The sequence below is a fragment of the Homo sapiens genome, chromosome 17 (genome assembly GCF_000001405.40).
Source record: "Homo sapiens chromosome 17, GRCh38.p14 Primary Assembly".
Taxonomy (NCBI): Eukaryota; Metazoa; Chordata; class Mammalia; order Primates; family Hominidae; genus Homo; species Homo sapiens.
This window is the reverse complement of record NC_000017.11, coordinates 62,776,392-62,789,913: the sequence shown is the minus strand read 5'-3', so window position 1 is coordinate 62,789,913 and position 13,522 is coordinate 62,776,392. Positions and strand designations below refer to the sequence as shown.

General features: G+C 43.2%; 1 protein-coding gene across 16 annotated transcripts in view; it reads left to right on the top strand.

The window, feature by feature from the left end:
• The window catches only part of MARCHF10 (membrane associated ring-CH-type finger 10), a 107,001-nt gene that overhangs the window by 18,401 nt on the left and 75,078 nt on the right, over positions 1 to 13,522 (top strand). For all 16 annotated transcript variants that reach the window (XR_934406.4, XM_005257102.4, XM_005257100.4 and 13 more), the window contains one exon: positions 1,315 to 1,434. Coding sequence is in view for 14 of the 16 variants with exons in the window: in XM_005257102.4 (XP_005257159.2) it covers positions 1,315 to 1,434 (120 nt within the window). In the remaining 2 variants the exon portion in view is untranslated. The remainder of the gene's footprint in view (positions 1 to 1,314; positions 1,435 to 13,522) is intronic.

The following is a 13,522-nucleotide window of genomic DNA, read 5'->3' as shown; positions in this document are numbered from 1 at the left end:
CACCCAGGCTGGAATGCAGTGGCACTATCTTGGCTCACTGCAACCTCTGCCTCCCAGGTTCAAGCAATTCTCATGCCTCAGCCTCCTGAGTAGCTGGGATTACAGGCATGTGCCACCACAACTAATTTTTATATTTTTAGTAGAAACAGGGTTTCACTATGTTGGCCAGGTTGGTCTCGAACTCTTGGCATCAAGTGATCAACCTGCCTCAGCCTCCCAAAGTGCTGGGATTACAGGCATGAGCCTCTGGGCACCTGGCCAGCTGCAATTCAGCTAAAATTAAATGCTGGATGCTGGGGGATTCAAAGATAAGAAGTTGTCCTTACTCTCAGGGTTCTCAATGATCAGCAGGAGAAACAGGCTCAAAACCACAAACAACTACCTACAATAGGAAAAAAATATGTATAATTCAAGCTTAAATTAATATACATTGCAACTCTGACAATTAATTCGGCCTGGAGAAGAGAGGGCAGAGGAAACTAAAGAGAGGCAAGGCCACAGCAGCAGGCTTTTTAGTAGATCAGTCGGTTTTGCCAAGAGAGCTTCTAACAGAGGAGATTCCAAGTGCAGGAAACACACATGCTCTGATGTTGACAATTCTCATCCCGCAACTAGGGTGTCATCTCCAGGGTCACAGTATAGTGAAGGTAGGAAGAGGGAGGGGCCATGAAGAGAATGACCAGAAAGAGAAATTCACAAGGTGTAACAGGTGCTGCCCTCCTTGAGAAGGCAACAGTTGGGTACATTCTTGACAAAATGCCTCTCAGTATGTTTATTGTTTGAATTTATTAAAGTAATGGCTATTACGTCTGACCTGCGTTTTTTTTTTTTTTTTTTTTTTTTTGAGACGGAGTCTCGCTCTGTCGCCCAGGCCGGACTGCGGACTGCAGTGGCGCAATCTCGGCTCACTGCAAGCTCCGCTTCCCGGGTTCACGCCATTCTCCTGCCTCAGCCTCCCGAGTAGCTGGGACTACAGGCGCCCGCCACCGCGCCCGGCTAATTTTTTGTATTTTTAGTAGAGACGGGGTTTCACCTTGTTAGCCAGGATGGTCTTGATCTCCTGACCTCATGATCCACCCGCCTCGGCCTCCCAAAGTGCTGGGATTACAGGCGTGAGCCACCGCGCCCGGCCTGACCTGCGTTTTAAGCAAAGGGAAGAGTGATACCTGGTCTTTATACTTGGTGAGAGGTATTTGATGAACACCTGGAGATGCATATCATTTATTTCATGCTCCTCACCATTGGAGTTAAGCATAAAGTTACCCAAGCTTGCCATGGTCCTAAGACAAACATTTTATTGTTGTTGTTCTTCAGGCTTGTCTGAGACGACAGGAATATAGAAGAGACCCAAATGAGAAGAAACGCGATCAGTTTTGGGGGCAAGAGACAAGTTTTGAGAGATCCCGGTTTTCTAGCAGGTCATCTTCCAAACAGGTATGAAGAATTCTGGGAGACAGTCTCCTGGGGCTGCTGCTGCTGCTGGTGGTGGTGGTGTGTGTGTGTGTGTGATGTAGGAAAAAGCCAACTCAAAAAGGAGATGTTGCAGATTCCCAAAGGTCAAGGCAGGGAGAGCCAGGGGCAGGAAGGAGCCTAGGGCTGGGAACTCCCTTCCTGGGGACACCACCCCTGTGGCTCCCAGCTCTGCAGTCTTCACACCTCACTATGGTTGGGCTCACTCTTCTTTCCTGTAGATAAAGGTCCTGACACAGATGGTCTATGGGACACCATCCAGATGAGAAATGCTGCAACTCTATAAGAGTTGGAGGCACTGGGCCTTCTTAAGCACAGCATCATCTCTGTGGCATATGGTCTAACTTGATGCAAGGTTGGGCCTAGTTTTTATTTCTGATGAAGGAAGAGAGTAAAATGTGGTAATAACTGTATCATGTAATAATTGGCAATTGTTTAAATATTTTTGCCTAGATATAGCAATATGATGATAAAATATTTTTGCTTAGAATGATATAACAATGTGATAATAACAATATGATAATATGATTAATAATAGTATCATGATAATAATAATTAAGCAGTTACCATTATTTCAGTGCTTGCAACATTCCAGGCACTATACGAAGCACTTTATACATATTAGCTTATTTAATTCTCATAAATGTATATATCTATCACCTATCCTTATCTATCTATCTATCTATCTATCTATCCATCCATCTTTGCCCCACTTTACTGATGAGAAAACTGGACCTTAGAGAAGTCACAAAACTTTACCTAAGATTTCACAGCCAGTGCGTGGTAGAGATTCCATTCTAGGCAGTCTGACCCCAGAGAAGGTGCTCTGAATTGCTAAGCTCTATGATCATATTTCATGTTTAAGATCTTATCTAATAATTTAACTTACCCTATGTAAGAGCTCAATACCACAAGCTGTATTCAACACTGACTGTTAGCATGGTGAATTGATTTAAGATGAGTAATATGCCTTTTATGAATTCCTATTTAATATTTTATGCCTGAAATATACTCTAGAGGAGAGACTCCTTCTTTCCTATCAATGGCATGGATCCTGAGATAGATCCTGAATACGTGATATCAATCAAGTTCTTGTTGAGATTTCTTTTTTAATCTAGGATGTTCACACTGTGGTTATTTAATGTTCAAAGGACACCTTAAAAACATCAGTGATTGATGTTTATAGATGTAGATGTATACCTAGGAGAGAGATATGCTCTCTATTAAGGAATATAAAATCGTACAATAAAATATTTCACTTAGAGTCTGAAGGTGAAAGAGACTATCTCACAATATTGGCAGCACCAAGAACACGTTGCCTGGATCTTTTCCTGTTAGTCTAAGACTAAATATAATGCCTGCTGCTGATTAAACTTAAGGAGTGAGATTTATCCAAAAATTAAATCTAGTTTGACTAGAACAACATATTTTTAGCATTAAGATAAATTCTCACATTTTTACACTCAGAAATAAGATCAAGGACAGATAAGAAAATATAATTCAAGTCAAACAGTAGCATGTAGCAGTCTTCCCAGATTGGAATTGCTAAACAAGTGGGCATCTGGGTGCCTCTGCAGGGAACTTTCATGCAGAGGCTCACGTGCACAGTCACGGCCATTTTATGTGCAATACTCATGCATTTGGGATATGCAGGATTTGAAGTTTTATGTTCCTTTTCACACTTAAGCTTATGGAACAAGCTGGTGTCAGATTCCTATAGTTTTCTTCTTCCTGCTATACAAATTATGCATTCTTTAAACCATCACTGCAAAACACTCAGACCACTTCTGAAAAAGGTCATGGTTGTATACATAATAGTAATTATGTGAAATAGCTTCTATAATACAGTTTATATGGCTCTTATTTCCCAATAATTTTATTATTCACCCCACTCAACACAACATTTTTTAAAATTATACTTTAAGTACTAGGGTACATGTGCACAACGTGCAGGTTTGTTACATAGATATACTTGTGCCACGTTGGTTTGCTGCACCCATTAACTCCTCATCTACATTAGGTATTTATCCTAATGCTATCCCTCCCCCAGCCCCCCACCCCATGACATGCCCCAGTGTGTGATATTCCCCACCCTGTGTCCATGTGTTCTCATTGTTCAATTCCCACCTATGAGTGAGAACATGTGGTGTTTGGTTTTCTGTCCTTGTGATAGTTTGCTCAGAATGATGGTTTCCAGCTTCATCCATGTCCCTGCAAAGGACATGAACTCATCCTTTTTTATGGCTGCATAGTATTCCATGGTATATATGTGCCACATTTTCTTAATCCAGTCTATCATTGATGGACATTTGGGTTGGTTCCAAGTCTTTGCTATTGTGAATAGTGCCACAATAAACATAAGTGTGTATGTGTCTTTATAGTAGCATGATTTATAATCCTTTGGGTATATACCCAGTAACGGGATCACTGGGTCAAATGGTATTTCTAGTTCTAGATCCTTGAGGAATTGCCACACTATCTTCAGTTCAACAATGGTTGAACTAATTTACACTCTCACCAACAGTGTAAAAGTGTTCCTATTTCTCCACTTCCTCTCTAGCATCTGTTGTTTCCTGACATTTTAATGATTGCCATTCTAACTGGTGTGAGATGGTATCTTATTGTGGTTTTGATTTGCATTTCTCTGATGACCAGTGATGATGAGCATTTTTTCATGTGTCTGTTGGCTGCATAGATGTCTTCTTTTGAAAAGTGTCTGTTCATATCCTTTGCCCACTTTTTGATGGGGTTGTTTGTTTTTTTCTGGTAGATTTGTTTAAGTTCTTTGTAGATTCTGGATATTAGCCCTTTGTCAGATGGGTAGATTGCAAAAATTTTCTCCCATTCTGTAGGTTGCCTGTTCACTCTAATGGTAGTTTCTTTTGCTGTGCAGAAGTTCTTTAGTTTAATTAGATCCCATTTGTCTATTTTGGCTTTTGTTGCCATTGCTTTTGGTGTTTTAGACATGAAGTCCTTGCCCATGCCTATGTCCTAAATGGTATTGCCTAGATTTTCTTCTAGGATTTTTATGGTTTTAGGTCTAACATTTTAGTCTTTAATCCATCTTGAGTTAATTTTTATATAAGGTGTAAGGAAGGGATTCAGTTTCAGCTTTCTACATATGGCTAGCCAGTTTCCCCAGCACCATTTATTAAATAGGGAATTATTTCCCCATTTCTTATTTTTGTCAGGTTTGTCAAAGATCAGATGGTTGTAGATGTGTGGTGTTATTTCTGAGGCCTCTTTTCTGTTCCATTGGTCTATATATCTGTTTTGGTACCAGTACCATGCTGTTTTGGTTACCGTAGCCTTGTGGTATAGTTTGAAGTCAGGTAGCATGATGCCTCCAGCTTTGTTCTTTTTGCTTAGGATTGTCTTGGCAATGAGGGTTCTTTTTTTGGTTCCATATGAACTTTAAAGGAGTTTTTCCAATTCTGTGAAGAAAATCACTGGTAGCTTGATGGGGATGGCATTGAATCTATAAATTACCTTGGGCAATATGGCCAATTTTCATGATATTGATTCTTCCTATCCATGAGCATGGAATGTTCTTCCATTTGTTTTTGTCCTCTTTTATTTCGTTGAACAGTGGTTTGTAGTTCTCCTTGAAGAGGTCCTTCACATCCCTTGTAAGTTGGATTCCTAGGTATTTTATTCTCTTTGTAGCAATTGTGAATGAGAGTTCACTCATGATTTGGCTGTCTGTTTGTCTGTTATTGGTGCATAGGAATGCTTGTGATTTTTGCACATTGATTTTGTATCCTGAGACTTTGCTGAAGTTGCTTATCAGCTCAAGGAGATTTTGGGCTGAGACAATGGGGTTTTCTAAATATACAATCATGTCATCTGCAAACAGGGACAGTTTGACTTCCTCTTTTCCTAATTGAATACCCTTTATTTCTTTCTCTTGCCTGATTGCCCTGGCCAGAACTTCCAACACTATGTTCAATAAGAGTGGTGAGAGAGGGCATCCCTGTCTTGTGCCAGTTTTCAAAGGGAATGCTTCCAGTTTTTGCCCATTCAGTATGATGTTGGCTGTGGGTTTGTCATAAATAGCTCTTATTATTTTGAGATATGTTCCATCAATACCTAGTTTACTGAGAGTTTTTAGCATGAGGGGTTGTTGAATTTTGTCAAAGGCCTTTTCTGCATCTATTGAGATAATCATGTGGTTTTTGTCATTGGTTCTGTTTATGTGATGGATTACATTTATTGATTTGCTATGTTGAACCAGCCTTGCATCCCAGGGATGAAGCGGACTTGATCATGGTGGATAAGCTTTTTGATGTGCTACTGGATTCGCTTTGCCAGTATTTTATTGAGGATTTTCGCATCGATGTTCATCAGGGATACTGGTCTAAAATTCTCTTTTTTTGTTGTGTCTCTGCCAGGCTTTGGTATCAGGATGATGTTGGCCTCATAAAATGAGTTAGGGAGGATTCCCTCTTTTTCTATTGATTGGAATAGATTCAGAAGGAATGGTACCAGCTCCTCTTTGTACCTCTGGTAGAATTCGGCTGTGAATCCATCTGGTCCTGGACTTTTTTTGGTTGGTAGGCTATTAATTATTGCCTCAATTTCAGAGCCTGTTATTGGTCTATTCAGAGATTCAACTTATTCCTGGTTTAATCTTGGGAGGGTGTATGTGTCCAGGAGTTTATCCATTTCTTCTAGATTTTCTAGTTTATTTGCATAGAGGTGTTTATAGTATTCTCTGATGGTAGTTTGTATTTCTGTGGGATCGGTGGTGATATCCCCTTTATCATTTTTTATTGCGTCTATTTGATTCTTCTCTCTTCCTCTTTATTAGTCTTGTTAGCAGTCTATCAATTTTGTTGATCTTTTCAAAAAAACAGCTCCAGGATTCATTGATTTTTTGAAGGGTTTTTTGTATGTCTGTCTCCTTCAGTTCTGCTCTCATCTTAGTTATTTCTTGCCTTCTGCTAGCTTTTGAATTTGTTTGCTCTTGCTTTTCTAGTTCTTTTAATTGTGATGTTAGGGTGTCGATTTTAGATCTTTCCTGCTTTCTCTTGTGGGCATTTAGTGCTATAAATTTCCCTCTACACACTGCTTTAATGTGTCCCAGAGATTCTGGTACGGTGTGTCTTTGTTCTCATTGGTTTCAAAGAGCACCTTTATTTCTGCCTTCATTTTGTTATTTACCCAGTAGTCATTCAGGAGCAGCCAATACAACATTTTTTTAAGAAAAACATAGTAAAATGCAAAAAAAAAAAAAAAAAAAAAAAAAACTGGCAATTTTTCCTCTAAAATATGAGGACAGGATATTTTATGTTTGCACTATGACACTGTCCCTCAGTGTGTCAGAGAATAAGAAACATTGCTTACATAATCTCAGTTTTCTCCAGATAATGATCTCCCAAGTGTTTGAGCCCTGATTGCACAAGTGTCATCAAGGCCTCATCTTCTCTACTGAGAAAAGTGACACAATCAAAATTTTCCACAGTGAAATTCACCTCTGCTTTGCTCTCTGCATTAGAGATATTCTTTGGGGGATACTGGAGGATTTGCCCCTGGACACAAAAGCAGAGGAAGGGCAGGGTGAGAGGAAGTGTCACTGAATGCATCATTCTTAACAGCCATTCAACTTGTGCTCTCATAACGTCCATCCTGCCTGGCTCAATCCTTTGGGTTTTGCTTGATATAAATGAAGCCAGAGATCTCTTATGAAACTCAAGCCAGATCCAAGAAATCTTCAACCCCCAAAATCATGGATTGGTTTGGAGATTCCCCTCCCAGATTTGAACCCCTAGCCCAATTTTTATTAAAATACAGTCGTTTGGCCAGGCGCGGTAGCTCACACCTGTAATCCCAGCACTTTGGGAGTCCAAGGCCGGCGATCACAAGGTCAGGAATTCAAGACCAGCCTGGCCAATATGGTGAAACCCCATCTCTACTAAAAATACGAAAATTAACTGGGCGTGGTGGCATGCGCCTGTAGTCCCAGCTACTTGGGAGGCTGAGGCAGATGAATTGCTTGAACCTGGGAGGCGGAGATTGCAGTAAGCTGAGATCGTGCCACTGTACTCCACCCTGGGCGACAGAGCGAGACTCCATCTCAAAAAAAAAAAAAAAAAAAAGAACAGTTGTTTGCAAACCTTCAGAGTATAGGCTGCCCATCCTGAGGGGATGCAGAACTTATTCAGCCTCTTCCCACAGGGTCCACAACTCCAGGGAGGTCCTGGAGCTAGTCTCTCAAGGGAAGCTGTGAATAAGAAGGCTGGCATGTCTCAAAAGAGAACCAAGGTCAGACAGATCCAATGTCCACAGCTCAGTGTATTGAATGTTGCATCAGGCACTAGAGTTGCAAAAGATTCTCCGTCAATCAGAAAGGGGCAGGAGAATGATATATAGCTCAGTGAGATGATGTAAACTCAAACAAAGCCTTCCTCCCTAGGTGGAAATATCCCAAGTCATTTCCTCCTAGAGATTGCAGCACCTGAAAACTCGAAATAGCATTTGCCTCTGATTTGTAAAGGCAGGTTCCTTCTCTGATTGAGTGGCTGTTATGAAAGTGAATTGCTTAATCCATGGAAATTTTTCCACCATTCAGTCACTATGTGCTTCTTACCACTACCAAATTTTGACACTTATATTGCAGTTTTCATCACTTGTTCATTCCTTAACCCAGACTCCAATTGTCACAATTCTGATGAGCCTGGAACGAACGAGGCATTTACCATCAAATAATGGCTTCAGTGTCAAGGTATCCTTCCAGACAACTGCCTTGAGGTGGGCAGATCCCCAAACACACAGTTAACCTGCTGGCTGCTTCATCCTGGCATAACCTCCTCACCACAACCAGTGGCTCTAACTGCTGGTTATGCAGCAGTTGGATTTCATCTAAGTCCAAGATGAAGCAATACCTATCAAGCCTGCGCTGAGAAGTTCTTTAGAGTGGTACTTCCTAAATACATTTACAGTCGTGGCTTGGCATAGTAGAAAGCATTTATGAAAGGCCAGCTCTGCCTCTCATTACAATGTGAATTCAGGCAAACCACTTGCAAGCACTTCAGTTTCCCATCAAGGAGATACTTATTATGCATATCTCGTGGGATCATTGTGAAAACGAAGGAGACTTCTAAGTGGCACACTGACATTACAGTACATTATAAACTGCCTTGGTGTCCAAATATACTTGCAAGTGATGCTCCAACAGGTATTGGTGGAGGAGAAGGTTCTGAGGCTTCTAGAATCCCTCAGCCCAGTCCCAGGCCACATTTTTAAAAGCCAACCTAATATGGCAACTTAATTTTAGAGCCTTTTCAGAGTTACGTACAACCCTGTGAACTGTTTCATCAGATTGGAATTTAACAGGGAAATAAATAGTGGCTCTGCATAACCCACTAGAAAGTGGGTAATTTAGTAGACTAAAAAGCAAAGAGGCTTCTGGATATACGGAGAAAGCAACGCCCCTCCTTCCCAGGCACCGGCGAGACCGCTGCTGGCCCAGAGGAGCTTGCTGTGATTGACAGAGGCACGGAAGGAATTTTGTCCCCACGAACCTTCACAGAGAGGGGACAGGAGCCCCGATTTCCCCATAGAAGATGATGAAAATGATTAATTGGCGCAGGACATGGTAAGCCGCAAGCTTCTAGAAAGCAACACATCACGGGCCCTTCTCATCTTTCCAAGATCCTGTATCCTCACTGGAAAGGACGTCGTTCCAAATGCACAAGCCTCAAGGACTGAGAACACGTTCTCACTGCATTTACTTCATGGGGAAGAAAGGTAGAGATCACTGTCAGTTTTTTAAGTGCACCATTTGCTCTGCTAATAAAAATAAGATTCTAGTCCTTTCACTGGTGGCAACCGAGTGCTAAATATTTAGATTCCAGGTCACCAGGACTCAAGGTTACATCGGAAGGAGGCGTAGGCAGTGAACCTGATACCGAGAAGCAGCTGGCAGTGCCCCAGGCCTGGCCCAGTGTGCTGTTCACATCAATGAAGTCACTTGACTGTACCAGCAAGCAAGGTGCGCCTCCAGAGGAAGGCTGTTACCCAACGTAAACACTGTAATTGTTTTGTTCATAAGAATCCACACGAATTTTAGAGATTAACATAAAAAATAAAGTCTTTTCAAGTAGCCTGCAATGGCTTAAAAAGTCAGAATGTCCAGCCATGCATGAGAGCAGCAAAGGTCTAAAACTGTGCCTTTCAATACAGTGGCCACTAGGCACATGTGGCCATTAAACTTTAAGTTTAAATTAATTAAAATTAAATGTACTGTGTAGATCCCTAGTGGCACTAGCCACATGTTACACACTCAAGAGCACGTCTGGTCAGTGGCTGCCATATTATTTTTTGTTTTTTGGTTTGTTTTTTTTTTTAGACCGAGTCTCGCTCTGTCACCCAGGCTGGAGTGCAACGGTGAGATCTCAGCTCACTGCCACCTCCACCTCCCAGGTTCAAGCAATTCTCCTGCCTCAGCCTCCCGCATAGCTGGGATTACTGGCACCCGCCACCACGCCCAGCTAGTTTTTGTATTTTTAGTAGAGACAGGGTCTTGCCATGTTGGCCAGGCTGGTTTCAAACTACTGACCTCAGGTGATCCACCCGCCTCGGCCTCCCAAAGTGCTGGGATTACGGGTGTGAGCCACTGCACTCAGCCATCCGGCTGCCATATTGGACCATGCAGATCTAGGACACTTCTGTCACTGCAGAAAGTTCTGTGGCACAGCACAGCTCCAGATTATAGTCAAGCTCAAAAACAAAACAAGACCCCATGAGCCAGGGAAGGGTTTTGTTTCCCAGAATCCAGCCCTGCATAATCCATAGCACAATGCTTTGCATACTGCGGCTCCTAGCAAATATTAGCTCTCGGGTGACTCAGCTGTCCGTGGAGGCTGGCTCGATTTGCATTTTGTGTTTTTCTATGACCTGGGTATATCTGCATGACTCCTTTCATTCCCTATTGATTCATCCTATCGTGTCCGTGAAACCTTCAGCTTCTCCACTTTCAAACGGCTCTTGGGGAGACATCCTCCCATTAATCTGTCAATGTCAACCCACTGACACCCTTTACAGTGTCATGAAAGCAGCCACGGCTTAGGATGTGGCATATGTGTTCCATGAATCATGCTTTTAATTTTCTCTAATTTCTGCTTGCCCATTCTCAGATTCCTTGTGGGTCGGGCCTCTTCTTTCTGGCCCTAGGCCTGTGTGCTGATGAGGCAGGTCGCGCATGCACACGCTGGTTCTAGCTGCCAGGGGGCCCCACCCTGGGAGGCTGTGAGTCACCCTTAACACCTGGCGTGGTGTTCTTCACAGCCGCCCTCTTGACTCTAGCTCAGATTCTGCGCCCTCGAGGTGCACTGGGTAAGAACGCAGCTCTGCACGCAGCATCTGGAGCCTGAAACGCACGTCATGGAGAGAGAATGTGCAGCCCACGGTTTGACAAGTGCAGATCTGTGGGAATTTTCCTTTGAGTTTGTTTTCCATTTTAGCCGTTGCTCTGTTCACCGTGGCAGGTCCCACAAGCCCCTCAGGCTCATGGTGCTGAATACATCATCATCTCCCCTCAAATTGTTTCCTCTTCCTGAAGTTCTTATTTCTGCCCAAGCCAGAATCCTGGAAATTATCTTAGACTCTGCCTTCTCTTTCTTCTGCTCCTCCTCCTACTTCCAGCAATCAAACACTGAAACCTGACTGTCTCCTCTCCTCTCCCTCAAATCTGTCCACTTTTACCTGCCTTTGTAGGGCCCTCTCTTTTCTTGTCTGGATTTTTTTTTTTTTTTTTTTTTGAGACAGAGTCGTGTTCTCTCACCCAGGCTGGAGTGCAGTGGCGTGATCCTCACCCTTCTGAGTAGCTGGGACTACAGGCGTGCGCCATGATGCCCGGCTAATTTTGTGTTTTTAGTAAAGACAGAGTTTCACCATATTAGCCAGGCTGGTCTTGAACTCCTGACCTCAAGTGATCCACCCGCCTCAGCCTCCCAAAGTGCTTGGATTTGTCTGGATTATTGTCATTTCCCTAATGATTTTGTCTTTACTTTTCCCCTTACAGGCAGTCTTCCAGGCTGCTATAAGAGAGATAGATACCTCTAGGATCAAATTGGATCACAACACTCCTTTATTAAACATTCTTCAGTGGTTTCCCATTGTCTTTGGGATCAAATTCAGATACCTTCGCAAGGTACCCAAGGCCCTTGTGTGCCTGACCCCTGCCTACCTCCCGAGCTCATCTGCCCAGCCTCTGTGCACCCTCAACTCTGAGGGCACCTCCTCTGAAAAAAGTTTCTGGAGCTTCTCCTGGGGGTTGAATGGTTTTGCTCGTCCTGTCTTTGTATTCTTAGAACACCCTCTGGGCTCATGCCCACCATGGGGTACATCTTTCTGTCTGCCTCCTCCCTTAGGCTGGGAGCTAGTCAAAAGAGGAGGCACTGTTTGTGGTTATATTTCCAATGCCTAGCACATAATAGGAGCTCCATGCATATTTGATGACTGACAGTTGTGATGCAGGGCAGGTGAGCCCCAGCCTTGGGACTTAGCCCAGGAGGGTTGTTGGCTTTGCCCAGGAAGGTATTCAAGGGGAAGCCGGTGGTGTTAGGCAGCAATTTTTATTGAAGTGGTGGTGCACAGCAGCAGCAGACAGACTGCTCCTTGTGGAGTAGGACTACCCCATAGGCAGTGTGCCCAGAGTGGCAGCTCAGGGCCATTCTCAAATCATATTTATACCTACTTTTCTTTTTTTTTTTCTTTTTTTTTTTTTTGAGATGGAGTCTCACTTTGTAACCCAGGCTGGAGTGCAGTGGCAGGATCTCGGTTCACTGCAAGCGATTCAGGTTCAAGTGATTCTCGTGCCTCAGCCTCCCTAGTATCTGGGATTACAGGCACCCACCACCATACCTGGCTAATTTTTTGTATTTTTAGTAGAGATGGGATTTCACCATGTTGCCTGGTCTCAAACTCCTGAGCTCAGGTGATCCACCCACCTTGGCCTCCCAAAGTGCTAGGATTACAGGCATGAGCCACTTCGCCCAGGCTATACCTACTTTTAATAGCATGCAGATTATGCAGAAATTTCTAGGAAAAGGTATTAACTTCTGGGTCGTTAGGTCATTGCCATGTAAAGGAGTGTTAACTCCCAGGTGTTGCCATGGCAATGGTAAACTGACATGGCACATTGTTGGGCATGTCTTATGGAAAGCTGCTTGCAGCCCATCCCCGTTTTATCTAGTCCTCAATTTGGTCCAGTGTCTGAGCTCCACCTCTTACCTTGATTGCAAGAATGTTTTAGGAATGTGCACCTATCAAAAGTTGTAACCATATCGCCGTAATAGCCAGAATAGGGATCCTTACTGTGGGCAAGAGAAGAAAGGGGATAATGTGACTTGGAGTGGAGAATGCTCCATGACCTGGCTTGAAATGATTGACGGGAGAATGGTTTGGTAAGGCTGCCAATCTGCAGTGGCCATTTGGGCTAGAAGATTAGTCAGTTATGATCAGACCCTCTTGAAACCCCGGAACAAGTGGTGACCAGAGTAGCCAGCCAGCTAAATAAAGCATTCTTTTCCTGGCATACCACTCTACAGAGGGACAGATGGCTTCTTTAAAACACCAGGTTCCTTTGGTCACAGGTAGGCAAGGATGCAAAGGCATAAGAATGGCAGGGTTGTAGCTCTGAGTAGATGGAGGAAACTCAGAACGGCCTGAAGTTGACCCAGGACTCACTTGTACATTATAAGGGAGGTCATCTTGTTGTGGTTGAAGATTCCGCCAGATAACTCACCAGACTGAACTGGCTATTTCTTTTATGATCAGGTTATAGAGTAATTGGAATACTGGTGTGCAAACCCCTCTGTAGGCAGACCAGGGTGCTGGAGATCTTCAGCAGCATTAATGCAGCAAACAAGTACTAGCTATCTTGGGCAAAGCCAGCAGCGCTTAATTTCTCCTTCATTTCTGTGCTTCGTCTGAGTTCCTCTAGGTAATTTTAAAATAGGGCATGACATTAAAATGGGAGAACCGTCCGTTTGAATTGCAGATGCTTCCAGAAAGTTGTCCTGCCTTTTTCAACGCACAGGCAAGACAG